Here is a 27,545-nt window from a genome sequence, read left to right as displayed (position 1 = left end):
AGCTCCAGCCAGACGGGAAAGCATCCGTGTTCTGGCACCTGCCCCGACTCCACCCTCAGGGTGCTCAGCCAGGCCCCTCCTGCCCCTTGTTGGGAGCACTGAACTACCAGTCTTCAGACTGAATCCTACTTGTGTTTTCTCAATGGAAAAACTAGAAAACGAAGGAACCCACTCGACAGGGCCACCTGAGGGTTGAGTAAGATCATGTGTGCAACAATGGCAATGGCTGTCCTCATACTGTCTCGCTCAAGATCAGCTTCAAATGCTGCTTCCGGCCAGGATGCAGGGGGGACCAGTTCCGCCTCTAGTGTCTGGGGCTTAGATTTCTCAGGTCATGCTGCCTCTCCCTATCTGACACCCAGAATCTCCCCAGAAAGACAAGATAGACACTTCCCTGAGATTAGAAGCTAGCTATTCAATCTAGGTGAACATGCCATTTTGGAGATTAGACAAACTGAGCCCTGGAGGAGTCAAACGACTCCGAGTAACCCAGCCAGCCACTGGCACAGGTGTGGTGAGGAGCCAATGCCAAAAGTGGGTGAAAGAGCTGGGCAATGTTCCCAGGCTGGCAGCCAGGAAACCAGGGCTTGGGGTCCCTGGATCCTCAGGTGCGGTGAAGAGGCAAGGCCAAAAGTGGGTGAAAGAGCTGGGCAACATTCCCAGGCTAGCAGTCGGGAGAGACCAGGGTTTGGGGTCACTGGATCCTGGCTCTGCTACTGAATTGCTATGTGACTGTTCTGTGCCCCTGCTTCCCTTGTCTGGTGGCTACAGGAAGGCAGATGTGGCTCATCACCCTGCCTGTGCCATAGTCTGGCTGCATTACTGAGTCATTTGACCTCTCCAGGGCTCAGTTTGTCTATCTCCAAAATGGCATACTCACCTAGATTAATGAGCTAGCCCCTGATCTCATGGGAGATTCTTTCTCATCTTTCTGCTGCCTTCTCCTCCATTTCTCTGCTCAGAAGGGGAACTGTGTCAGCAGATCAGGGCTGGCTATTGGAGGCTTTTGGAAGAGTAAATCCAAGTCATAGCTTCATGTCTCTCTGCGCTGGGCAGGACCAAGGCTAGGCTTTTTTATTTCAATAGGTTTTGGGGTACAGGTGGTTTTTGGTTACACGGGTAAGTTCTTTAGTGGTGAGTTCTGAGATTTTGGTACACCTGTCAACTGAGCAGTGTACACTGTACCCAGTATGTAGCCTCTAATCCCTCAACCTCTCCCACCCTCCCCTGTGAGTCCCCAAAGTCCATTATATTATTCTTCTTCACCTTTGCATCCTCATAGCTTAGCTCCCACTTAAAAGAGAGAACATCACAAAGTCAGGAGTTCAAGACCAGCCGGGCCAGCATGGTGAAACCCCGTCTCTACTAAAAATACAAAAATTAGCCAGGCATGGTGGTGTGCGCACCTGTAGTCCCAGCTACTTGGGAGGCTAAGGCAGGAGAATTGCTTGAACCTGGTAGGCAGAGGTTGCAGTGAGCCGAGTTCGCATGCCACTGCACTCCAGCCTGGGCGACAGAGCGAGACTCCGTCTCAAAAAACAAAAACAAAAGAACAAAAAAAAACCCCAAGAGAATATATGATATTTGGTTTTCCATTCCTGAGTTACCTCACTCAGAATAATGGCCTCCAGCCCCATCCAAGTTGCTGCAAAGGCCATTATTTTGTCCCGTTTTATGGCTGAGTAGTATTCTATTGTGTATATATACCACATTTTCTGTATCCACCCATTGGTTAATGGGCATTTACATTGTTTCCATATTTTTGCAATTGCCAACTGTGCTGCTATAAACATGTGTGTGCATGTATCTTTTTCATACAATGACTTCTTTTCCTTTGGGGAGATACCCAGTAATAGGATTGCTGGATCGAATGGTAGTTCTACTTTCAGTTCTTTAAGGAATCTCCATACTGTTTTCCGTAGCAGTTGTACTGGTTTACATTCCCACCAAGGCTGGGCTTTTGACCTGCTTTCTCCCCACCCCCACCTGAGGGAAGCCGAGAGGACCTGTGTGTCCACAGGTTGGCTTTGACATGACATGTCATGACACGAGATGACACAAAGCAGCAGCTGAGTGCCCACTGTGCAGTAGTGAATGTCCTGTCAACAGAGGGCGTTTACTGAAGATTTGAGGATGGAGGAGGAGCTGAGGCTTGCATCATAGGAAGGCAACAGCTTCAGAACCTGACTCTATTCTCAGAGTACCCTCCTACTTGCCTGCACCCTCCCAGGGGACCTTCCCTGGGGGTCACTATACTGGTCCAGCCTCTGTCCATCATGCTACCTTCCTTCTCTTGCCCCCTTTTTGCACCCCCATCTTGTGCATTGCCACAGGAACCCCCAAGTCTGTTTGAATGGGGGAAGGCATCAGGGGCCAGAGTGCCCCCACCTCCGTCAACTCCCCCAAAACTGTCCCAAATAAAGTCACCCCAAAGAAATCTTAGGAATATATTGTGCTTTTGTAAGCACACAGTCTTACAATATGCCCCCGCCAAACTGACTGCCTCCCCAAAGCCCCTCTTTGCCAAGCTCCTGCTCTCAAATTTGACCACCCAAATCCAGCATAGGGCTCAGCTGGGCAGAGTCTTCTGCTGAAAAGTCCACCTTCCGTAGAAGGCTGCTGGGAGTAGACAGAAGTTTCCCCACTGTTACTCATCCATTTCATCTTCATCAAAATTCTGCAGGTTAGGGAATACTGCCCCAATTTTGCAGAAGTGGAAACTAACGCTCCTGCCTGGGACTGTGTCTTAGTCCATTCAGGGTGTTGTAACAGCATACCTTAAACTGGGTAATTTTTTAACAGGAATTTACTGCTTATAATTCTGGAGGCTGGGAAGTCCAAGATCAAGGTGCTCTCTGCTTCAAAGATTACATTTTCTTACTGCATCGTCACGTAAAGGGGCAAACAAGTTCCCTCAGACCTCTTGTATAAGAGTCCTAATCTCTGCCCTAATGACGTAATCACCTTCCAAAAGTCCCCACCTCTTAGTACTATCACATTGGAGATTCAGTTTCAACATAGGAATTCTACCTACAGTGGCAGGTTGCGCTGTCCAGCCTCGGCCCCAGACTCCAGAATGTCAGACGTCTTTCCATCTCTTCAGCCCCTCACTCCCCATGTAGGTCCCAGCAGGGCTCGGTGCAGCCTCCCAGGCCACATCTGCTACCCCTGCCCTGACACAGATGATCAGAGCTGGCTGGCAGACACTCTGGAACAGAGGCCTGAGGTTGTTATTAATGTCATCCTCCTATATTTCCTACTCTTTGCCTTCCAGGCATGTGGTGGGATGGCAGCTCCCTGTTCCCTTGTGATTGGGAGGTGGGGTAACCTGGCCAACAAGGTGTGAGAAGTGACATCTGTCATTTGGGCTGGAGCACTTAATTGCCAGATAGAGATCTCTTTCCCTCTGCCGTGGCTTCTGACGGCCTTTGAGATGGCAGCTGCTCCATCACCCCCAGTCCTGGAGTAAGGAGACATGGGGACCCTGCCAGCCCTTGACGGGTAGTAGCGTGCATGAGAATGACACTTCCTATTAGGAGCCACCAAGATTTCAGGGTTGTTTGTTGCTGCAGCATAACCTGGCCTACCTTAACTCACACACATCTCCAAAAAGCAAAACCAAGATGGAGCTCAGAAATAGCATGAAGGACATTGTGTTTGGAGACCAAATGCTCATAGTGGACATCTTTGGTGTTCACGCCACAGGAGGGACTGGAAGTGGCAATAGAGTTGGCCCTTTGTGGGGCCTTAGTACCGTTAGGGCAAACCTCAGAGAAAATCCATCCAAACTCTTCCCTGGCCAAATACGGAGACTGAGGTCCAGAAAGGGCAGGGCTTCACAGCATGCTATAGTAGAGGCTGGCACAGAACCTGCTAACAATAGACTGCCTCCATTTCCCAGTCTCCCATGCAGCTCTATGTGGCCATGTGATCAAATTTTTGCCACCTAAGGACTTCTTTGTGGGTTTCTTAAAGAGAAATCTGTGACTCAGCTGCACTAGGGTAGGAGACTCCTAGAGGTTCAGAGCCAAGGCCTGGCCTTACCACTCTTGGGGTGTGTTGCCTTGGGCAAAGTGCTTCACTCTGAAGCTGGGAATTATGGTGAACAGATGAGATCAGTGTATGCCCAGTGCCCAGCAGAGCACCCAGTGTGCAGGAGCTCAATAAATGCTACGCTTCCTGTTATTATTTCAATTCAGCAGTAGGAACAAAGCTGTGATGACATAAGCCAGGGTCTTGCTGCACTACCCAGATTCCATGCAGAGGGCTGGAGTGTAGAGCAGCTCCTTCTCTGCCCAGCCGACATTCTCTCTTCTTCTGGGAAGAGCATCTCTATTTTCACTCCAATCAGATGACTGTTTCTGTGACATGTAGCCATGAGAAAGTAGGAAACTAACATTTACTAAATGCCAGCTGTGTCCTAGGTACTTCACATGGTTACCTCATTTAGTCTTCAGGATAAGTCTATAAAGAAGGTAGGTGTGGAAACTACAGCTCAGAGAGGTTTAGTAACATGTGCAACATCACAGAGCTGGGACTCAGATCGGATGCCCCAGCCCAACCCATCTTTTAAATAAGGGTCAGCCATTTAAGTTTCTAACTGTGATTGACTTTTCTAGGAGGGGCATTTATTCACTCAGTCAATATTTACTGAGGCCAGGTGTGGTGGCTCACGCCTGTAATCTCAGTACTTTGGGAGGCCAAGGTGGATACATCCCTTGAGCCCAGGAGTTCAAAACCAGCCTAGGCAACATGGCAAAACCCCATCTCTACAGAAAATACAAAAATTAACCAGCTGTGGTGGCATACGCCTGTGGTCCCAGCTATTCAGGAGGCTGAGGCAGGAGGATTGTGGGAGGCTGAGGCAGGAGGATCTTGGGAGGCTGAGGCAGGAGGATCGTAGGAGGCTGAGACAGGAGGATCACTTGAGCCTGGCAGACAGAGCAAGACCATATCTCAAAAAAAAAAAAAAAATTTACTGTGAGCCTGCTATGTGCCAGGCATAGTACTAGGCCTCAGGGTTAAGACAAGCCCCTGCCATCATGGAGCACCCATTCCAGATGGCATGGAGACTTCACCTCATGAGCCAACTCTAGGTGACGGTAGCTGCCTGCAGCATTATGACGAGAGGATCCGGAGAGGCCTCTGGGCCCAGCAGGAAGGACATTAGTGGTTGATTACTCAGGGTGCCATGGGTGCTACCAGGGAGTTTCTGAGTGTGTGCTGTTTACTGGCCACCCAAAGTTTTAGACTTGTTCATACAAATATATAACAAAGCAGAAATATTGTCTGGTCAGAGCACAGTTCCACTCCTTATTTTGAAAAGAGTAACTGGCTGGGTGTGGGGTCTCACACCTGTAATCCCAGCACTTTGGGAGGCTCAGGCAGGCAGACTGCTTGAGCCCAGGAGTTTGAGACCAGTCTGGGCAACATGGCAAAACCCTGTCTCTACAGAAAATAAAAAAATTAGCCAGGTGTGGCAGTGTGAACCTGTCGTCCCAGCTAATAGGGAGGCTGAGGTGGAAGAATCCTTTGAGCCTGGGAGGTGGAGGCTGCAGTGAACCATGATTGCACCACAGCACTATGGCCTGGGTGACAGAGCGAAATGCTGTCTCAAAAGAATGACCACTGTAGAGCTAATAACTTGGCCCTGCCCTCAGGGAACTTAGGGTCTAACTAGTAGCCTAAAAGGTACACATGAGTACAAGATGATGATTATTAAAGAATGGAACAGGAGCGTCTGATCCAGAGTCAGAGGCGGGAGAGGCCACATGGATGTGGGGGATCCCAGAGGCTTCCTGGAGGAGCTCAGTGGTGGATGTGGCTAGGTGGGTGGGGGCAGGAGAAGGTGTTCCAGGGGCAGCAGCAGGACAGGCAAAGGTATGGAGTCAGGGCAGGTAGGAAGTGGGTGTGCAGTGGGGCAGGAATGGTGGGGCTCCCAGTCCAGCTGAGGCAGAGGTGCTGGGGGAGTGCTGAGGAGGTAATAAAGGGAGTGGGCTGTGGAGGTCTCCATGTCAGCCCTGGGAGTTTAGCCCAGACCCTGAAGCAGGAGGGAGCCACTGAAGAGTTCGAGCAAGGGCATGCCCAATGAAAGATATTTCCAGGTGGCTGGAAGTCAGTGATGGGTGGCAACTATCCAAAGAGGGAATAGAAAGAGAGTCCCTGTAGGTATTAAATAGGTGGGAGTTAGGGGACCTGGGCTCCATGCTGACATGCTGGGACCACAGGCAAGCCCCTTACCTGGAAGGGCCTGCTTCCTCCTCCCTCTTCTATAAAGGCCCTTTCAGGTCATGACTGAATGAAGTGAGGTGGGGGAGGAGTGGCTTGGTTTAGTTAGGATCTCTATTTTCCACTTTGCTTTGGCCTTGGACACCTGACCTAAGGTGGGTCCATCACCCACGTTACCTCAGCTTCAGGCCCACACAGCTTACTCTGAGGTTGCCCCACACCTCAGCTTTCTGAAACAGTATGTCCCATAGAAGAGAAGACATGAACTTGGCCCACTTTCCAGCTAACTTGAGAGAGAAACTTTGCCTCTGTGCCTCAGTGTCCCCACCTGGAGGAATGGTGTGAGTCACACCTACTCTGCAGGGATGGCATGAGAAGCCATTGAGATAATGCCTTTAAAGTGCCAGGGGTAGAATCTCTGTGCTCTCTGGGAGTAAGTGCTGAATTAGTGGCAAATGTCTTTCTTGTTATTATTCCTATTGTGTGTTTCCTGTGTGGGACTCTGGGCTGTAAGCTCTTCATTGGCAGGCACAAGATCTGACACCCAAGGCTAGTGCAACTCTGCCAGGTGGGTCATGGGAACTGTGACGTAGGCCTGCCTGGCCCAGGAAGCAGCCCAGATACTGACACACCCTGAGTGTGTACAGCGTCAATCCTCATGGGACTGCCCAGCACACGAGTCCCTCGTCCCTCCCCAGGCACCCAGTGCGACAGGCACCCTCACCCAACCAAACCCACCAGGATCTAAACTAAATTCTTCCTCCTTTTCTGTTCAAATTTATATAATTATTTTTGGAATAAGTAGTACATTTAAACTTTTCAAAATTTAAGACACCAAAAATGTGCCATAAAAAAAAAAATCTCCACCTCAGCACACAGCTCCTTAGGTCTGCTCCCAAGAGACAACCACTCTAAATTCCCATTAAAATAATCAAACTTAATTGCTTCCCCCTTACAAAAGTCATGAGCATTCAGAGCAAAAGCTAACTTAAAAAAAAAAAAACCACCTTGGAACACACAAAAGTACAAACTGAAAACCTCACCCTCAATGCTGCCATTCAGAGATACTCAGCATTTTAGCGTATGTCCTCCTAGACTGCTTTCAACGCACATCCACTTTACAAAAAATGAAAACAAAATGCAAGAAGAGATTCACAATATTGATTTTTCAACATCTCACTAGAATCTCAGAAATGTTTCCTCATACCTTCTTCCTTAAGTGACTTTAATAGCTCTGTGATCTTCCACAGACAATGATTTATTCAAGCAGACCACAGAGATGGGCATTTGGGATTTCTACATTTTCCTTACTAGAAGCAGCAGTGATGGATGGGCCCTGTGACTCCACTGTAACAAATTCCTAGAAGAAATGCTGGGTCACAGGATATGACCACTTTTTAATATCCTGGCCTAGACCCCTAGATACCTATCACAAACCGCCCTCTAGCCAACTGCCTCGATCAGCAGGACTAGGTGTCCAACCCAAATTTAGAGCTATTTAAGAAAAGGCCAAGAAGTCTTGGTTCATAACCGTCTGAACAGCAGCTGTGAGGGCCTTAATCCCACCTCCAAATCCAGACTAAGGCCAAAGGCCTCCTCTGGGCTGGCAACCTGCCTTGTTTACCCAGCCACAGCCCTCACCTGTGCCCATCCCAGTCCAAGGTGAGTCAGCTGAACAGGGGACAGGCACCACCCTTCCCAGATCAGGAAGCCAGCTGAGAGACAGGGCTACGTTTCAGGGAGGGAAACAGATTCAGCAGCGGCAGCAGCTGGAGAAGGTCGTGGAGCAGCACCTTGCCTGCAGGTAAGCGCTGGGGGCCCTGACCCAATCCTGGCTGGGATTGGGATGAGTGAGACCTGCTCTCACCCTGTCCCCTTCCCTCCCTGCCCCTTCCCTTCTGGGACTTCCCAGGCAGCTTCCTTTCGAAGTGCTTCACTCCAAGCAGTCAAGTGTGAAGTGGGGTTTCTTCTTCTGATCCCAGCCCTGGACCAAGTTTGATTAAGGGCTGAGTGATTTTCTTCACCCAGACATCATGAGGGCCCCCGATGCCTTCTGACTGCCCATGACTGTGCTCAAGGAGATGAGATCCACACTTTGCTCCTTGAAAGGCCAATTCCAGCCGAAACCAGAGGCTGCAGGCAGGCAAAAAGCCCATTTCTCCCAAGGAATCCACAGCTCAGGCCGACTTCTCTGGCCTGAGGCTGTTTCTATCAAAAAACCTTCCTGCCACAGCACTGAAACACCTGCTGGGGAACTGCGCCAGGGGCTTCACCTTTCTAAGAACTGGTTTCTTCATCTGGAGACTGAAAATAGCCCACAAAGTCAGGAGAATGGAAGGACATACTGGACACAGGAGCCAGTGCATGCCCTCCTCAGCAGGGTCTCAGAAAATGGGGCAGAAAACGAGCCTGGTATGGGCTGGGCGAGCACTGGACAGGCAGCTTCACGTACAGTGGCCCAAGCTCATGACAATTCCACCACCATCACTTCCCACCTGGGCTCCTGCTCCCACTCCTGCCCTGTAGCCCATCCTCCAAACATCAGCCAGAGGAGGCCTGTCAAAATAACCCTTGGACCTTGGCACTCTGCTGCTACAAATCCCCCAGTGGCTCCCATCTCACTACAGTAAATGCCAAAGTCCTCACCATGACCTCCAGGCCCTCCAGGATCTGGCCCCTCTCACTTCTCCAGCTTCCTCCCCACTACTCCTCCTTACTCCCTCTCTGCACAACTGGCTTCTCACTGGCAGATGTCCTCTAAACACAACACCAACTCCCACCTGAGAGGCTCTGCAATGGCCGTGCCCACCCCATTAGGCCTTTCCTCAAATGTCACCCCACCCAGCCAGCAAGGCTTCTGAACCTCCTGACATGACCCTCCGTCCTGCTCTTTCTCTCCAGTGCCTCCCACCATCTAACACAGCACACAGAGTCACAAAGCCTATTTATCCAGCTCTTCCCCCAAAGAAAGTACATTTGGGGACCAAGTCTTCTTTCCTTCACTGCTGATACCTAGAACAGTACTCAGACTTAGCAGGTGCTGAGTAAGTAAGCGCTGAAACAATGAATAAACAGCTAACTTTTACTGAATGCCTATTATGTGCTAGGTGCTGTGCTAAATGCTTTCCATATACACCTTAACTCTTTTTAAAAATCTTTCAGTCTCCAGACAACTGTGATGCAACTATTGTTATCCAGATTACAAAGGAAGAAATGACATTCAAAGGGGATTTGCCTATGCTGTGCTCTCACAAGTCAGAAGCAGTCAGTCTGAACCCTGCCCTGCCTGGGCCTGGGTTCAGGCGTGTCTGCTTGAGGAAGTCACAGCTTTTCCCCAGCAGGCAGTGCAGCACTGAGAGGAGGAGTGGGGGTACATGCTGGTGGCCTAGCAACAGCTTCTTCTATTCCGACTCACCACATCCCTGGGCTAATTTGGCCTTCCAGGAGCTATTCCTCTGACACTCTAACCCACGCTTCCCTCCCGCGCACTGTCTTGTAAAGGACGGATGAGCTGTCCACAGGAACGAGTGGGAGTTCCATCACTTCAGCTCTTTGGAACAAAGTGTTCCAAAGAGTGTTCTCACTCTAAGTTCAAAGATGGGGGCTGAAGTCCCCTTGTCAGCCCTGCTGATCTCCGAAGCCCAGCTATTGGTTTGTTGTGGGTGTTGTTATTGCTTATATCAAAAAGTACAGAAGCTCAGGGATGGAAATCTGGAAAGGGCTGTGGGAGAGGAAAATTCCTCTGAGAGAGAGGGGTTAGGTGGGTTCTTTTCCTTTCGGAGGAACCAATTACTTGTGGGAAGCCATCAGCACAGAACTGAGCAAACTTCCACTGTCAGATTATAGGAGCCAGGCAGCCTTTCAACCTAACTCGTTAGGGCCATGGTTTCTCTCCTTTTCCAGGCCCAGGTTATTCTTCGAAAGACTTTCTACTTATTGACTGCAAACACAGACAGGCATGGGAAGAAAGACTGTATATTTAGGATATCAGGCTTTCTCTTCTCTCTGTGCCTGCTTTTCCACTCCTTTCAGAAATAGTAATGGGATGCCTGTTGTGTGCCAGGCACTGTGCTCAGCACTGGGGGTTAACAAATGAGTGACATTTCCTGACCAGTGAGGGAGATGAGCAAACAAACACAGCACAGTGGAAATCCAACCTAGGAAATGCAGAAGGCCTTGCTCATAGTAGGTGATTAACAAACACTTGTGGAATATATGATGAAGAGGCAAATACAAGAAATGCTGTCGTCTAGAGAAGGGAGGCTTGCCAATCTCCATGCGTACAGGTGGGGGAAAGCTTTAAATTGGAGGAAAAAGAGTTCACAACAAGGAAAAGAGAGAAGGCATGAATGACTCTTAAGACAGAGGGAATAGCACCTGCAAAAGCATGGAGGCATGAACTAGCAGGCTGACTTTTAGGACTCAACCTAAAGTAGTCTGGAATAAATGAACTTCATGATAAGTGTGGAGAAGAATGAGATGGTGAGAATGGAAACATTACCAGAAGTCAGGTCACAGAGATTTGAGGGCAAGAAGTAGGTATGGCTTCAGAAGGGAAAGGGAGGAGCTGAGGATAACTCCCAGATTTCTGACATAGCCCATGGGTGGATTCAGTGAGACCGCTGGGGAGGCGCGGCACAGCTGGGGAAAATCACGAGTCCAGTTTGGATAATCTGCGAGGTAAACGGGATCCAGAAGGCAACTGGACTCTCAGGCCTGGGCCTCCCTGTCCCTGGAATAGCACACTCTCTTCCCACTTGAACATCCATCCTACACGGCCCAGTCAGGGTCTTCTTCCTTCCTCCAGGAGACCTTCCTGATTGCCCTAGCCTTCCTCCTATACGCCACATCCAACTGCCTGAGTCCCTCATAACAGGCTTTCGGTCTGATTTTGCTGTGGGAATTGATTTGCCCGGCCAAGCCAAGAACCCTTCCCTAGGCAGCAGAAGCCCAGTCACTCAGTCACTGGTGGGTGGGACGCGGGGTGAATCTGCGTAGGGTGGGGCGGGGCATTTTTAGCTCAACACTGGGTCAGAAGTCACGGCCAGACAAGAAACGGGTGAGAAACGGGGGAGGAAGGGTGACGTCACAATTGGTAGGAAATACCTTGGGACTTGACGCTTTCGAAACCAAAGGGAGAGCAAAAGCAGCCGGGAGCGCGCGGGCCGACCTGGTTCTCCTCCCTTCCCACGGCTGCCTTAGTACAGAATCTTATAAGTCCTCCTCCTTCAGAGGCTACAAATGGTGTTCCGAGGCCAGGGGAGTTTAAAGCTCGATTTCACCCGCGCAGCCTCCAATCCGGTAAAGAGGGGCCGCGGAGCCCGACCAAGTCTTCCTATGCCTTACTCTGCTGCTTTACCTGATCTATTTTTGTGGATGCCGGCGCCAGCTACGGGCGCCCGGAGAAAGCACGAGGCCGGGTGGACTCTGGTAACGCAAGCGGCAAGGAGGCCGCCATGTTCCACTCTGCAGCCGCTAGGGATCGTGGGAGTCACCCCTAACCGCGCCCGGGCCTGGGTGGGCGAAACGCATGCGCTCTAGAAGTTGCTGAGTCGCTTGGCGGTGTTTCTGCGCAGGCGCCGTAGCCCATAGCAACCGCCGTAACCTGTAGCAACCGGAAGATGTCGCTTCCGGCTGGTTTGGGGCTAAGAAAGGGGTTATAGTCATTTCGAGATCATAGAACGATGTGACAGATAGGAAACTGAGGCTGGGTTGGAGGCAGGCCCTAGGGACCGTTGCGTTGGACCTCGCTCCTGTGGCGCGGTGGATGGAGTTTGTGGCTTGTGGCTCCTATTTCCCAAAGCAGGAAATTGAGACAGAGGGAAGGCACAGGTTCGTCCTGAGGCTGCAGCCCAGGTGATGGTTCCCCGGGTAAAAAATCAATATGATGCCCTTTGTTTATAAGGAGAAGGCAGGGACATGAAAGTAATTTCTAATAAAAGAATATGCATTTCACTTTGTAAAAGCTGAGGCTGGCTTACACCCGATCACGCTTGTACCCAACTTAGGAATCAGCTTAGGTTTACTAGAAGACAATATTCAGCTGAATTTTGCCAACAGTTTATATCTGACATCTTGAGTCAAAGGCTAAATATATTTATATAAAAGCGCGGAGTCACTGTGACAGCTACACATGTACACAGACGTGAGCATGCTGTTCGGGTGACTCACCCGTGGGGAGCAGGGTGGGCAGCGATTTTCCAGAATGGTGAGCAAAGTGTAACTCCCCACAACCAACCTGATATATGCATTTCCAGACAGTCTAGTGTGTACTAAAACTAGGGAAAAATTCATTGTGATTGTATGTACAACCAATTATAACGGATTTTTGGCTTACTTGAAAGTTTGGCAGGATATCTGAAAGTTGTGCGGGACAGGACCATTTGTTATGGTGACTGTAATGGACTGTCCCATCCATTACAGGAGTTTCATATCCCTGCCCCCCCCACCCCCGACAGGGATATGACTGTCCCCTCAGTCTCGTGACACCCAAAAATGCCCACATAAATTTCCAATCTGTTCCTTGGAAAACCACTGATTTATTCAGTCAAATAATTTTTGCTAGCATATGTGTGCTGGGCAGTGCCGTGGCGGGGAAGGATCGTGTGTGAACGGGACAGAGCTCCTGCCCTTATGAGTGAGGTCCAGTGTAAGAAAATACCCAGATATTAATCACATAATTTGATAAATAGCTTGGCAACAGGGGCAGTACAGGTCAGGGGTGGAATACATGGGAAGACCCAGCCAGGCAGCCTGGGTATCATGCAGTCTGGAAAAGCCAAGCAGAGAAGTAGCATCTGAACTGAGCCTCGAAGGAGCATCACACCAAGGAGGATGATGTGCACAGCAGAGGGACCAGCACGTCTGGCACACAGTGGACACTCAAATGTTTTGAATGATTGAACGAAACACAGCATGTTCGCTGGCAGGGAACCATTCCCCATTATATTGTGAGCTGCTACAAGGCAGGGGATACAGTATGCCTTTCCTATCCCCAGGTTTCACATCCATGGATCCAACCAACTGTAGACAGAAAATATTTAAAAATAAAAATTAAAAAAAACAACAAAAATTCAAATAAAAATAAAATATAACTTTGTTTAGCATTTACATTGCATTAGGTATTGTAAGTAATCTAGAGATGATTTAAAGTATACAGAAGAATGTGCATAAGTTATATGCAAATATTATGCCACTTTATGTAAGGGACATAAGCAGCTGTGGATGTTGGTATCCGAGGGATGGGGAGTGAGGGGCATTGTCCTGGAACCTACCCCAAGGAACGACTGTACCTGTTTTCTCACTTCCCCGCATCCCAGCACTAAGATGGGATCCAGAGAAGGTGGCAGTGGTGAAAGGATCTCAGACACAGAAAAAGGGTTATGTGATCTGGCCCGGGAGTGATTTCCAGGAAATGGATCTCTGACTCCCTGCTCTCCCAGGGGACAGCTGACAAAAATATAAGTGCTCTACTGGTTAAATGTTAGGAAAATCAGGGCAGGAGTGGCTGCTTATTTTCGCATCTGCTGTTCATGCGTGGTCCTGGTGGCAGGTCATGTTTTGGCAGATGATAGCTGCTCAGGACTGTCCCAAGATTAAAAATCTCATAGTGTGTGTACACAGTGGGGAAGGCTATAAGCAAAGGGGTCTCTTCCCCCAGGTGGTCTAAAGGAAGTCAGAGCCAGACTCCCTCCCCTCCCAGGAAATTCCTGTCCTGTTGGGATGGTCATTTCTACCCCAAAGGCCAGGCTAGGGCAGGGTCTGGAACTGGCTGCCTCCAGGAACCAAGCAGGCAACGTAAATCAGTGAAGGGCTGATGGGTACTTGCGGAAACAGGAAAGCACGTACAGCCCCATTTGCGAGGTAGGCTGTGACTCAGCCGGGTGAGTGTTGCCATGCACTATTCCAGCTCTTGCCTTGCCAAATGTTTATATTTTTTTCAATCCAAGTAAGAAGTGACGCATTTTGTGTTTCCAGATTTTTAAATATTGGCACTAATTCAGATTTTAAAAACAAAAGGCTGGGCATAGTGGCTCAGGCCTGTAATCCCAACACTTTGGGGGACCGAAGCGGGCAAATTGCTTGAGCCCAGGAGTTCAAGACCAGCCTGGGCAACATGCTGAAACCCTGTCTCTACAAAAAATACAAAAATTAACCAGGTGTGGCGGCATGCACCTATGTCCCAGCTACTTGGGAAGCTGAGGTGGGAGGATGGCTTCAGCCCAGGAGTTGGAGATTGCAGTGAGCCAAGATCGCGCCACTGTACTCCAGCTTTGGCAACAGAGTGAGACTCTGTCTCAAAATAATAATAATAATAAAACAGGACTGTGAGAGGCACATTTGGGACTTCTGGTCCTTGTTTCATCCAGGAAGGTGGGTGTTCTTAGGATACTAGAGCTTTACTTTACAAGGAGAAAAGTGGAAGCCCAGGTAGAATGTGTTGCTTCTGGCAATATTATTGAGCTAGCCTCCATGCTAGGGGTTAGAGGCTTCACAGCAAATGAGAAGCCCCTGTTCCTGCCATCTTGGAACTCCTAAGGAGGTAGACAGACAAGTAAAGAGGCAACCACAAGAGTGGTGAATACTCAACAGGAGTAGGACATGGAGCAGGGGCTAGGGGGAGCACAAATCAAAGCAGGCTTCCTGTAAGAGGAGCTCCCTGATCTGAGACTTGAAAATTATTAGGAGTTGGCCAAGCAAGGAGCAGGGAGAGGAGGGGTATTCCAGATAGAAGGAATAACACATGCAAAAGAGACAGGAGGGAATCACATGCAAGGACGTGGAAGTAGCTCATTGTGGCTGGAGTTGAAAGTAGCAGCTGAAAGGACGTAAGGCAAGAAATGAAGCTGGAGAGGTAGACTAGGGTTGCAAACAAATATCTATTGGGACTTGGCACCAGTGAGTACAATGGTCTGGGTGTAACAGCCAATAGAGGATGGTGGACTGGGTCACCCTGGAGTCTGCTGCTACTCAATTGTAGCTACTCTGCTATAGCCTAGGGTTGCCAAAGCTTCCTGTTTTTTGGGAGCAGTGGGAAATTCGATTATTAAATCCAGTACCTTGAGCTTTGTGTTTAAGCTGCTAATCTGAACGTTTACAGTACTCCACAAGGTCAAATAAAATCTATTTCCATCTGGCCCTGGGCCCACCAGTTCCAATCTCTGGTGGAATCGTGAAGGCCCTGTGAGCCTCTTTAAGGAGAGTACATTCCCAAGGCAGGGAAGCCACTGGCGGGCTTTCAGCCAGGGCATGACATCCCAAGTGTGTACACAAAGGGCCTGGTGGCTGCTGTCTGGAGAGCAGCAGGACGGCAGGAGGGGAGGCAGCAGTGTGTTTGGAGGGTGTTATGGCACCTGGAGAGGGCCAGGGAGATGATGGGGACCTGCACAACACGGGATGTGGGAGAGATGGGATTTGATGACAGACAAGAAGGGATAGTGGGGGCGGGGCCAAGGATGACACAGGGGTCAAGGCAGCAGGTGCAGAGGGAGGAGAAGGAGCAGTGATGGATGAGTATGTCCTCGGCGTGCCTGTGGTCACTCAGGGAGGTGCCCAGCGGATCTGATCCTGGGAAGCCTGGAGTCACATCGCTCAGGCACAGGACCCTCAGTTTCCTGTGCCACCAGCGGGCATTCCTTTATCATGTGTACCCATCACATGTGAGTTCAGTGGGGTGAATAGGACACACCTTTACCCCTCAGAACTGCAGTCAGGACAAGTGGCGAGTTCAAGCAAGAGGCTGGCCCGGTGCTGTCCCGGAGCTGTCCCGGAGGGCAGGGTCCTGGGTGGGAGGGGCAGTGACCGTATTGCCTGGGAGCCAGGGGAGGCGTGTCCCACAGGAACCGAGGGTGACAAGGAGGTTGGGCAGGGGCTCCAGTTGGAGTGGACTGCCTCAGCGAAGCCTGGAGGTGTGACAGAGCCAGTGGTTAGTGAGTAAAGGGAAGGAACCCAGAAAGGCAGACTGCTCCTTCCCCACATTTCGTCAGGAAGGGAATAAAACATTTCTTAAGAGGTCATCATTCCTTTCACTTTCTCGGGGCACCTTGCTCAGAGGTCCTGCTGATTCTCCCTGGGACAATGAGAAGGTGTTTAGTAAATAAGTGCTCATGGTGCCTCTCCACCCCCCATTCCCTCCTCCCTCTGGAGCAGTGCCCTGTTGAGTGTCTAAGTTCTGCTACAGTTTGTGTGAGAGTCTTTATAAATTTCCTACTGGTCTTACTTCATTGTGGCCAAGATTAAAAGTTGACAGTGAGGCTGGAGATGAGTGGAATACAGTAGAGTTCAAATATCGACAGGGGATTAGGGGTGGAGTTCGGGGAGGCATTCTAAGTGCCCTGCTGCCTTTCTGTTTGAATATTAAGTTCCAACCCGCTTGCTGTTGCGGATGTCTGTGCCTCCTTTCAAGGGGGCATCAGCTGCATCCTTATCCTTCCCCACCCTCTGCACTCTGCAGGGTGTTCTGAGAATCAGCCATGTCATCCCTGTACCCATCTCTAGAGGACCTAAAAGTGGACCAAGCCATTCAGGTAAGTCGCCAGGCCCCATTGGCCTGGATTCCCTGAAGGGGACCTTGGGGATTACCCTGGAAGGTGCTGGGTACTGGGGCCACTTGGAGATTCCCGTAGGCCTCAGGGCATGTAGGTGTCCACTGCAGGGCCTGCTGGGCAGAGAAGACATCCAGGGGGCAATGCCAATGGCGTTACAGCAAGAATAGAAAAGACCAAGCAGCGCACGCATGCCTCTCTCATGCCTGCTCTGTCCTGCCCAGGCCCAGCTCTCCCTCCCTCCAGGATGGGCGGGCTCCATGCTCTAAGGCAGGCTTTCAGAGGAAACAAGACTAGTGGGCATAGGCATTGGTCTGCTTAGCCCCCAGAAGCCCCCTTCCTCCTCCATCCCAGCACTCTGTGGTTCCAGTGGGTTTTGAGAAATGGAGACTTTTCAGCTGAGAACTTGATTGGGAGATGGGCCTTGATGTTCTGCCTGTTGCAGGCAGTAAATGGGTTGTGACATAGGGTGGGTCACAGTCCCCCAGAACTTCCTCCCAGGAAAAGACACATCTGCGGAGGCCACGTTTACGTGATCTTGAGCCCTGAGGGTTGGTGCACACTCCCCCCACACCCCGGGCCCACTCACACCCCTAATGCCCAGACCCTGGCCTCATGGAGCTCCAGGCTCTGGGGTTCCTGGGGTCCTGGCCACAGCTGACCAGTGCTCCCTGCTCCTCCCCAGGCCCAGGTCAGAGCCTCACCCAAGATGCCAGCCCTGCCAGTCCAGGCAACAGCCATTTCCCCACCACCAGGTGAGTGGGCTGGGATGAGGGGCTCCTGGGTGCCAAGTCCTTTCAGGGAAGAGATCATCAGGGAAGCTTGGCAATGCCAAAGGTATGGGAGGCTCCAGGGTTAAGGACTCAACATGGTGGGAAGAGAGGACCAGGCTTCCAGTTGCCACCCACCTCTTACTGCCTGGGTGACCTGGGCTGAGTCACCTCACCTCCCAGAGCCTGTGCCCATGCTGTTCCCCTCCCTCCTTGACTGCCTGGTGAACCCCTGTTTATCCTTCCAAACCCAGCTCAAGTTAGGGAAGCTATGGCTTCTCTGATGCCCCCAGCAAGGCTGCCTTGAGGATGTGATATCATTTGTGGGGCCTCTGTCTATATAAACGATTTGAGTCACCTCAAATCAGCATTTCAGCACCATTCTGGTGATCCAATCTCATGTGACCCCGGGAATGAAATACCACACTTGTCAGACTTCCTTGCTGGAACTATGGCTGGCCTGGGGTGGGGGCAGGTGGGGAAGAAGTGGACGGCAGATAGCGGCTCAAAGAGAGAAGGGGCCAGAACCCCACTTGCCTTATTCAGCTTAGGCTTCCATAACAAAATACCATAGGCTGGATGACTTCAACAGCAGAAATGTATATTCCCACAGCTCTGGAGGCTGGAAGCCCAAGATCAAGGTTCTGGCCAATTCAGTTTCTGGTGAGGCCTCCCTTCCTGGCTTGCAGATGGCCACCCTCTGGCTGAGTCCTTACATGGCCTTTCCTCAGTGTACTTGCTTAAAAGAGAGAGAGAAAACGAGAACACGAGAGAGATACAGCATGAGAGCGCATGCATGAGCCCTCTGTTGTCTCTTCTTATAAGGACACAAATCCTTATAAGAAGGGATTAGGACCCTGCCAGTCCTGGTGGGAACCATTCGCTGAGGGATGCAGAGGTTTCTGGGTGTCAAATAAAGTCAGTGGAGTTGAATAGCAAAGTGGTGCATGAGGACTCGGTGTCCTACCCTGCACCTGGGCCCTCTGAGGAGCGCTCATCAGTGAGTGTTCCTGGGGATACCCCACAGTCTTGGAAATAAATACCATTCCCAGGCTCCATTTCTTAATAAAAATGAGCAGCCACAGGGGAGCCAGGCAGGCATAGGGAAGCACATGTCCTCTAATGACACATTTATTCTTCCTTCTTTCCCTATCAGTTTTGTACCCAAACTTGGCAGAACTGGAAAATTATATGGGTCTTTCCCTCTCCAGCCAAGAAGTCCAGGAGAGCCTGCTTCAGATTCCAGAGGGTGACAGTGTATGTATTTGGCTTCTGCCTGCTGCGGGCGCAGAACCTCCCAATCCTCCCTTTTTCCTGGTCTTGCCATTTCAACAGACCTTCTTTCTCTCTGTGCTCGGACCTCCCCTCTCCCCAGCACTCTGCTGGCTCTGTTTCTTGATGGCACCGTTCATTTTGAGGCTTCACGAAAACCACTGTGGGCTTTCATGGTTTCAGATCTTCCCACAAGCCTTGGGGATGGAGAACCAGGGCTTGCCCTTTGACCTTGGGCCTGAGCTGGATGAGAAGGGAGGTCATTAAGCCCAGCGTGAACCTGGGGACATCAAAAGCAGGGCTGCCTGCATGGATAAACAGAGCCGAGAGGGCAGGAGCTCGTCACCCAACTCTGGTCCCCAAATTAAACAACAAGGCTCAATTCCTGCTTTCCATGGCTTCGGGGAGCAAAAGACACCATCACAGAAATATATGCCACTGAAAACATATTTACCTGTAGAACCAGTCCCCGCCTAAGCCCCTTGCCAGTTAGCTCTAGCATCCCTGCGTCCCACCTGTCAGTCTTCCTGCCAGGCTCGTCCTGAGCCGATGAAACTGAAAGTACAAACTGCAAAGTTGTCTAAGGCTGGGGAATTTCATGAAGTTCATGGATATGATGATAGAGAACTGTCACAGACACATACAAAGCCACTGCCAAAACGAGGATCTGACAGGAGGAAATCCACAAGGATGAGGCCATGTGGGACCCTGAGAAGAACTGATGGCACCCTGGGGTGTTTCTCCACAGTGGCCCCCTTCATGGTCGTGCTGTGAAAGGCAGACATGAAGCAAAGAAGGTCCTTCTGTAGGCAGCCCCACTGTCATCACTCTTTGTTCCTATAATTAAGACATAAATGCATTCAACCGTAATTTTGATAAAATATAAGATGATGAATACATTTTTATAATTTAAAATTTTGTATGTCTTTTAACTTTTTATTGTTAAACAGTAGATTCCCAGGAAGATGCAAAGTGAGTACAGAGAAGTTGTTAGTACCCTTCACCCAGTTTCCTCAATGCTTATGTTTTCCATAGCTATAGTACACTATCAAAACCAGGAGTCTTACGCGAGTACAGTGTGTCTCTAGTTCTATGTCATTTCATCAGTGTGTAGATTCATGTAACCAGTACTGCAATCCATACAGAACTAGTTCATCACCACAACCACCTCCCTCCCAGGCTGCTTCTGTATAGTTATGCCTGCCTGCTTGCCACCCTCCCTAACCCCTGGCATCCGGCCCTCTGTTTTCCATCTCTATAATTTTGTCATTTCAGAATGTTACATAAGTGGAATCGTACAGTATGTGACCATTTGAGGTTGGCTTTTTTCACTCAGCACAATACCCTCTAGATCCATCCAGGCTGTTGTGTGTGTCAATAATAGTTCATTCCTTCTTACTGCTGAGTAGTATTCCATGATGTGAATGTACCAGGGTTTGTTTAACCTGTTGAAGAATAGCTAAGTTGTTCCCAGTTTTTGGTGGTTACAAACAAAGTTATTCTTATACAGGTTTTTGTATAGACATACGTTTTCATTTCTCTAGGATAAATGCCCAAAGTGCAATTGCTAGGCTGTATGACAAATGTATGTTTAAGTTTTTTAAAGAAACTGCCACCAGGTGTGGTGGTGCATGCCTGTAATCCCAGTACTTTGGGAAGCTGAGACAGGTGGATCACTTGAGCCCAGAAGTTCGAGACCAGCCTGGGCAGCATGGTGAAATCCTATCTCTACAAAAAATACAAAAATTAGCCAGGTATGGTGGCTTGTGCCTGTAGCCCCAGCTACTCAGGAGGCTGAGGCAGGAGGATTGCTTGAGCCCAGGAGGTGGAAGCTGCAGTGAGCCAAGATCACAGCACTGCACTCCAGCCTGGGTGACAGAGTGAGACCCTGTCTCAAAAAGAAACTGCCAAACTAGTTCCTGGAGTGGCTATACCATTTTATTTTGCCGTGAGCAATACATGAGTGCTCCAGTTTCTTCATGTCTTCACCAGAATTTGGTATTATTACTATTTTATATTTTAGCCACTATGATAGGTATAATGATGGCTCATCATGGTCTTAATTTGCATTTCCCTGGCACCTGATGATGTGGACCATCTTTCCATGTGCTTATTACCATCTGTATATTCTTTCCGGTAAAATGTTTCTTCATATATTTTACTCATTTTCTAAATGGCTTGTTTTCTTCTTCTTGTTTTTTGAGACAGGGTCTTGCTCTATTGTCCAGGCTGCAGTGCAGTGGTGCGATCACGGGTCACTGCAGCCTCCACCTCCCGGGTCAGGTGATCCACCCACCTCAGCCTCCCGAGTAGCTGGGACCACAGGTGCACACCACCATGCCCAGCTAATTTCTTTTATTATTGTTATTTTTATTTTTTGCAGAGACAAGGTCTTGCTATGTTGGCCAGGCTGGGGCTTGTCTGTAGTGTTTTGGGAGTTCTTTGTGTATTCTAAAGTCCTTTGTCAGATGTGTGGTTTATGTTTTCTCTCAGTCTGTAGCTTAACAGTTCTGAATTTTGATGAGGTCCAGTTTATTGATTTTTTTTTCTTTTGTGGCTCATACTTTGTAAAGAAATATTTACCTAGCCCTAAGTCCGAAAGATTTTCTCCTTCGTATTCTTCTAAAATGGTTATAGTTTTATGTTTTGCGTTTACGTTTATGATTGAATTTGGGTTAATTTTTTTGTAAGGAGTTAGGTTTCAGTCAAAGTTCATATTTTTGCCATGGTTGCACCATTTGCTTTTTTTGTTGTTTTGTTTGTTTGTTTGTTTTGAGATGGGGTCTCACTCTGTCACCCAGGCTGGAGTGCAGTGACATGATCTTGGCTCACTGCAACCTCCGCCTCCTGGGCTCAAGCGATCCTCCCATCTCAGCCTCCTGCGTATCTGGGACCACAGGCACGTTCCAGCACACCTGGCTAATTTTTGTATTTTTGTAGAGATGAGGTTTCACCCTGTTGCCCAGGCTGGTCTTGAACTCCTGACCTCAGCTGATCTCCCTGTGTTGTCCTCCCAAAGTGCTGAGATTACAGGCATGAGCCACTGCGCCCAGCCAACACCATTTGTTGAAAGCACTCTTGCAAAAAGCAGTTGACTTTACTCATTTGAGGCTATTTCTGGATTTTCTACTTTGTTCCACTGATACTTGTCTATCCCTTCACCAGTACCACACTGTCTTGATTATTGTAGCTATATATAATAAGTCTTGAAATTTGGTGGTGATTCCTCTCGCTATTCTTTTTGTCAGAATTGTTTTAGCTATTCTAAATTCCTTTGTCTTTTCATATAAAGTTTAGACTAACCTTCCCTGGATCTGCAAAACATCTTGTAGAGATTTTGATAGAAATGGTGTTATATCTGTATATCAATTTGGTGGCAATTGACAGCTTTACTAATTCTTTCAACACGTGAATACAGAGAATCTTCCATTTATTTAGGTCTTCTTTGATATCTTTTATCAGTATTTTGTTGTTTTCAGCATACGGTTCCTGTATGTGTTTTGTTAGATTTACACGTATTTCTTTTTGTTGTTCTTGTTTTTAGGTTTTATTTTGCTTCGTTTTTGTTTTTAACAGAGATGGGGGTCTTGCTTTGTTGCCCAGGCTGGTCTTGAACTCCTGGCCTCAAGTGGTCCTCCGGCCTTGGTCTCCCAAAATGCTGGGATTACAGGAGTGAGCCACTGAGCTCGGCCTCTTTTTTTTTTTTTTTTTTTGAGTGATTGTAAGTGGTATTGTATTGTATTCCTTTTCTTTTCTTTTCCTTTCTTTTCTTTTCCTTTCCTTTCCTTTCCTTTTTTTTTTTTTTTTTTTTTTTGAGGTGGAGTCTTGCTCTGTCACCTAGGCTGGACTGAGCAGTGGCTCAGTCTTGGCTCACTGCAACCTCCACCTCCTGGGTTCATGTAATTCTCCTGCCTCAGCCACCTGAGTAGCAGGGACTACAGGTGCTTGCCACCAGCCCAGCCAATTTTTGTATTTTTAGTAGAGAGGAGGTTTCAACAGTTGCCCAGGCTAGTCTTGAACTCCTGGGCTCAAGTGATCCATCTTCCTCGGCCTCCCAAAGTGCTGGGACTACAGGCATGAGCCACCACGCCCAGCCTGGTGTTGTATTTTAAATTTCAGTTTACATGTGTTCGTTGTTAGTATACAGAAGTACAATTGAATCTTGTGTGTTAATTTTGTATCCCAGGACCTTGCTAAACTCTTTTATTTGGTCTAGGAGTTTATTTGTAGATTCTTTGGGATTTTCTAGTAGACCATCGTGCCATCTATAAATAGGAACCGTTTTATTTCTTCTCTTCTGATCTGTGTGACTCCCCCTCTTTTCTTGCCTACTGTGCTGGCTAGGTCTTCCAGTACCATCTTTAATAGTGTTGGGAGAGTGAAGTTCCTTGCCTTTTTCTGCATCATGAATTTGTATATTTTTACATTTTTCTCAAGACAAAAATCCAGTCCTTTTATCCCCTGTTGCTCACTATTTACTGTGACTTTTTCTATTTTAAGTGGGTTTTAAAGGAGGCTTTTCCTGATGCCAGTTTCCCTTGGGAAATGAAGGGCCTCTTCCTGTATCCTCGCCCCTTCCCTCCCCGTTTTCCTGGCTTTTTAAGGGCATGGACTTTGACGCCCCCTAGTGGCCGCGTGGAGCCACGTCTCCTCTCGCCCCTAGGGGAGAAGCGTGGACTGGGGACGTGGGGGGACCCGGGGACGGCTCCATCCTCCTTTCCCCATCCCTACCCCCACCCCAGTGTCTCCTGAGGCACAGGGTCCCCACGGGCCGGGCTGACCCCCTGCCCCCTGGTGTCTGCAGACAGCGGTCTCGGGCCCCGGGCCCGGCCAGATGGTGGCACCGGTAACCGGGTACAGCCTGGGCGTGCGGCGAGCTGAGATCAAGCCCGGGGTGCGCGAGATCCACCTGTGCAAGGACGAGCGCGGCAAGACCGGGCTGAGGCTGCGGAAGGTCGACCAGGTAGGGCGCGGGGGCTGGGTGGGAAGAGGAGCTCGAGCTGCACGCGCTCTCCCGCCAGGCCTCAGAGCTCAGAGGGCCCGTCCACAGTAAGGAAGGTGCAGAGCGGGCCTCCTAACCCCAGCGGCCAGGCTCTTGCCCCCAGTCCCTCCTCCCCGAGACCCGGGCGGGGCTGGTGCTGGGTTGCGCAGGGCCCTCCACTGGCCTCTCCGTGGGCTTCCGTCGCTCGGAGGAGCCTCCCTTCCCCACCTGCCCTTCGCTGCCCAGGGCATCTAGCTTCCAGGCGACGGTGTAGACAGCCGACGCCAGGGAAGCCCATGCCTTTGTGAATGGTACAGTGGAGTGTTTCGGAGTGCAGCCCCAGGCCAGGGTTGAAATCCTGACTCACCTGCTTCCTAACTATGAGGCCTAGAGTGTTTCCTCCCCGGTAAATGGGGTAACCTTGGTGCCTGCCATGCAGAGCTGTGTCCCTGGCACCCTGTAGGTTCCTGGAGTATCAGGAGGAAAACAACAGGTTGGAAGAGGGATCTGTGCCTAGGGTGGGCCAGGGACACTGACTCTGGGGCCCTGCCTCCCCCAGGGGCTCTTTGTGCAGTTGGTCCAGGCCAACACCCCTGCATCCCTTGTGGGGCTGCGCTTTGGGGACCAGCTCCTGCAGATTGACGGGCGTGACTGTGCTGGGTGGAGCTCGCACAAAGCCCATCAGGTGGTGAAGAAGGCATCAGGCGATAAGATTGTCGTGGTGGTTCGGGACAGGTGAGTAGCCAGGCCCGGGCAGCCTCTCCGTCTCACCCCAGCCATGTCCCCAGGACAGCTCACTGTCCCTCCTGCCAGGCCGTTCCAGCGGACTGTCACCATGCACAAGGACAGCATGGGCCACGTCGGCTTCGTGATCAAGAAGGGGAAGATTGTCTCTCTGGTCAAAGGGAGTTCTGCGGCCCGCAACGGGCTCCTCACCAACCACTACGTGTGTGAGGTGGACGGGCAGAATGTTATCGGGCTGAAGGTAGGCTGGTGGCCGCACCAGGGAGGGACTGCCGGGTGGTGGGAGGGCTCAGGTCTTTGGGCAGCTTGCTTACCCCACCTGAGCCTCAGCATCCTCTTCCTAAGGTTGCTGTGAGGGTTCAGTAAGACGGTGTTCGTAGGGCTGGGTGCGGTGACTCACGTCTGTAATCCCAGTGCTTTGAGAGGCCAAAGCAGGAGGATCACTAAGTCCAGGAGCACGAGACCAGCCTGGGCAATGTGAAACCCTCTTTCCACAAAAAAAACTAAAAAATTAGCCAAGCGTGGTGGTGCACACCTGTAGTCCTAGCTACTCAGGAGGCTGAGGTGGGAGGACTAATTGAGCCTGGGAGGTCAAGGATGCAGTGAGCTATGATCATGCCACTGCACTCCAGCCTGGGCAACAGAGAGAGACCCTGTCTCCAAAAAAAAAAAAAAAAGACAGTGTACCTAGAGCTCTGAGCACAGTGCCAGGCACATAGCAGGTGCTTAATACATAATAGCTATTGCTGGCTGCATGGACACCTCCTTGCTCTGTATGGCACTTTTTTTGGTATAGTGGATCATGTTCAGTAGTTTAGGAATGTTTTAGAAAATCGTTATTCAGAAATCCATGGGGTCGTGAGGTTCTTCAGAACTGGGTTTGTCCCAGCCAGCCACACTTCTTGAGATCGTTTGTCTTTTCAAAGTTTATTTCCACCTGTGGCCATCACTAGTCCTGTCTAGCACATCTTCTCACATTTATTTTCGAACAACCAAGAAAACACATAACCAGATAACATACATGTGTAATGTAAAGGTCAATAGGCTCTGAGTGAGGGCCAGAGGCTCTTCTATGGCCATAACGTTAGTGTTTGGACCACCTGGCACGCTTTGCGTAGAGACTTTTAATTTCTTGTTCTTCCCATGATCTAAGTGGTGTCTGCAGGCCCATCTCTTTTTATCAAACAAGCAAATGTAAGAGGATGTAAGAGGAGGAGGATCCTTATGGCCCTGGAGGCAGCAGGAGCCAGAGGGTGGATGGGTACGCCTAGTACCTCCCACAGGATGGGGAGGCATTTATGCTTTGAGGCCAGAACCCAAATGTGACTGTGGGCTTGGTGAGTCTCTGGGAGCCCTTGGAAGGGGGAGGAGAATCGCATTGATGAGGCCCTGTTACGCGTCAGGCTCACACCGCTGGCCTTCAAGCTGAGGGTGGGAAGAGGCATGCTCATTTGACCAAGGAGATCCTCAGGTGGGAGACCCATGTTCTCACTCAAGCAAGACCTTACCTGGGAGTCTGCTGGGACCCTCATCTGACAGGCTCGGGGTCCGAGGCAGCCCTGCCCTGCAGTCAGCCATCAGTGGTGTCCTCTAGCAGTGGCCATGCTGATCCCTCCACAGAGGGGCCTGTAGAGTTGCCCCTGGTCCCCAATCCTTAGGGTGATCGCTTACTTGCCTCCTCCCTAGGACAAAAAGATCATGGAGATTCTGGCCACGGCTGGGAACGTTGTCACCCTGACCATCATCCCCAGTGTGATCTACGAGCACATGGTCAAAAAGTAAGGCTGCACCCCTCCTCACCCCTCCTCACCCCTCCTCTGCCATCCCCTTCACCTCCCGGCCTCCCAGGTGCACCTGGCTCAGCCACTTCCACTTTCTCAGTGCTGACACAGGGCACAGGCTCAGCCAGCTCTATCCTCCCTTCCCCTCCCTCCAAGGTAGCTTGTGGCTTCTGGTGATTCGAAAGTCTTAGAACTGGGAGTGAAGGCCCACATGGGATGCACTGGCTCGGAAGGGGGTGGAGGTTGCTGGAGGGTGGAGAGAAGGAGCTGCCAACCTGGTCACTGTTGTTGCTGTATCCAGGTTGCCTCCAGTCCTGCTCCACCACACCATGGACCACTCCATCCCAGATGCCTGAAGCCACTGCAGGGCAGGGCAGGCAGGGGGGGCTTCCCGCCCTCCTGCAGCAAAGGGCAACCACCCTCGGATGATGGGTTGCAGCCGGCCTGCTGCTTAAGGTGGGGGCTGCCATGAGGGGGGCGTGTCCAGGAGGGTGACCATGGGATGGCTTATACACACAGGCCTCCTTGGAGCCTCAGACTCCAAGCTAGGCTGAGGCTCAGGCAGGGCCCACAGGCAGCCGATTCTCTTGTGCTGATTTAAATGCTGGACACGGAGGCAGGCTGTTTAAACGCTGCTTAAAGTCGCAACTGGGCCCCTTTCAAGAAATTTTGCTCTACCAGGAAAACAGTTACACATTTTAAGAGAACAGAGCTACGTTCTTTGTGAGAGCTTTTTCCTTGCCTTGACTTGCTCTTTGTCACAGACTGCATAAGTTGTCAGCCTTGACTATCTTTTGAATAAAGATTTGATTTTAAACAAAACCCTGTCCGCAAAGGTAATTGATTCCCCCAAAACTATTGAAAATAAAATAAAAAGGTAACTGAAAATTCTGGAATCCTTGGTCCCCTGACGTGCCAGGGCTGGTTTCCTCTTAAACCGTGGTGAGACCAGGGCCTTTTCTACGCGTGGCCTCTGAGAGCCATGATTTGGCTCTGCCTCTGTCACGTGCCACCTGCCAGCCTGGCGCGGGGATGACTGGAACTGGGGACAGGATGGAACTGTGGGGATGGGGTAGGACTGTGGGGCAGTGGGGCTGACAAAGGGAGCACTGGCTTTGGGGCACCCCCCGTGTGACCGTGGCTGCTTCTGCTTCTGCAAAGTGGGCATGAGAAGCCACTTTAGGGGGTGTTGGGGAAGGTGAGACGCGATGTGCTCATGGCGCCC

The 27,545-nt window shown here is 50.2% G+C and overlaps 1 protein-coding gene and 3 long non-coding RNA genes across 8 annotated transcripts in view, besides 2 other annotated features; 2 read left to right on the top strand and 2 right to left on the bottom strand.

The window, feature by feature from the left end:
• SDCBP2-AS1 (SDCBP2 antisense RNA 1) overlaps nucleotides 1-11,774 on the bottom strand; it is a 53,393-nt gene extending 41,619 nt beyond the window's left edge. For 2 of the 3 annotated variants that reach the window (NR_040048.1, NR_040049.1), the window contains exon 1: nucleotides 11,588-11,774. This is a non-coding gene — a long non-coding RNA (SDCBP2 antisense RNA 1). Of the gene's footprint in view, nucleotides 1-11,334 lie in introns of all 3 variants that reach the window. The other variant, NR_040047.1, reaches the window with a different exon arrangement.
• Nucleotides 1-27,208, top strand: part of FKBP1A-SDCBP2 (FKBP1A-SDCBP2 readthrough (NMD candidate)) — an 83,264-nt gene extending 56,056 nt beyond the window's left edge. Inside the window, exons 3-10 of the long non-coding RNA NR_037661.1 lie at nucleotides 16,682-16,754; nucleotides 17,458-17,527; nucleotides 18,699-18,799; nucleotides 23,619-23,777; nucleotides 24,355-24,530; nucleotides 24,609-24,780; nucleotides 26,226-26,317; nucleotides 26,622-27,208. This is a non-coding gene — a long non-coding RNA (FKBP1A-SDCBP2 readthrough (NMD candidate)). The remainder of the gene's footprint in view (nucleotides 1-16,681; nucleotides 16,755-17,457; nucleotides 17,528-18,698; nucleotides 18,800-23,618; nucleotides 23,778-24,354; nucleotides 24,531-24,608; nucleotides 24,781-26,225; nucleotides 26,318-26,621) is intronic.
• SDCBP2 (syndecan binding protein 2) lies at nucleotides 7,978-27,208 on the top strand. Of its 3 annotated transcripts, none has more exons than NM_080489.5 (9): nucleotides 7,978-8,032; nucleotides 16,682-16,754; nucleotides 17,458-17,527; nucleotides 18,699-18,799; nucleotides 23,619-23,777; nucleotides 24,355-24,530; nucleotides 24,609-24,780; nucleotides 26,226-26,317; nucleotides 26,622-27,208. In NM_080489.5, the coding sequence occupies exons 2-9, from the start codon at nucleotides 16,701-16,703 to the stop codon at nucleotides 26,674-26,676; spliced, it is 879 nt and encodes a 292-aa protein (NP_536737.3). In that variant the 5' UTR covers nucleotides 7,978-8,032; nucleotides 16,682-16,700; the 3' UTR covers nucleotides 26,677-27,208. The 3 variants fall into 3 exon arrangements, with proteins under 3 accessions (NP_536737.3, NP_001186713.1, NP_056500.2); NM_001199784.2 differs by lacking the exon at nucleotides 7,978-8,032 and adding an exon at nucleotides 11,248-11,287; NM_015685.6 differs by lacking the exons at nucleotides 7,978-8,032; nucleotides 16,682-16,754; nucleotides 17,458-17,527; nucleotides 18,699-18,799 and having other exon boundaries at nucleotides 23,444-23,777.
• Nucleotides 11,198-11,492: an enhancer, noted in NCBI's record as "tiled region #67; HepG2 Activating non-DNase unmatched - State 1:Tss". NCBI's record gives its function as "activates a minimal TATA promoter and a strong SV40 promoter by Sharpr-MPRA in HepG2 cells {active_cell/tissue: HepG2}" and the evidence as "EXISTENCE:reporter gene assay evidence [ECO:0000049][PMID:27701403]".
• Nucleotides 11,483-11,712: an enhancer, noted in NCBI's record as "active region_17457". NCBI's record gives its function as "activates an Ori minimal core promoter by ATAC-STARR-seq in GM12878 lymphoblastoid cells {active_cell/tissue: GM12878}" and the evidence as "EXISTENCE:reporter gene assay evidence [ECO:0000049][PMID:35858748]".
• On the bottom strand, nucleotides 12,748-16,682 carry LOC124904856 (uncharacterized). The gene is made up of 2 exons (XR_007067487.1): nucleotides 15,917-16,682; nucleotides 12,748-13,251 (listed from the first exon to the last, which is right to left on the bottom strand). It is a non-coding gene; the product is annotated as an uncharacterized LOC124904856 (long non-coding RNA).

Source organism: Homo sapiens, chromosome 20, assembly GCF_000001405.40.
Source record: "Homo sapiens chromosome 20, GRCh38.p14 Primary Assembly".
NCBI lineage: Eukaryota > Metazoa > Chordata > Mammalia > Primates > Hominidae > Homo > Homo sapiens.
This window is presented reverse-complemented; position numbering and strand designations above follow the sequence as displayed.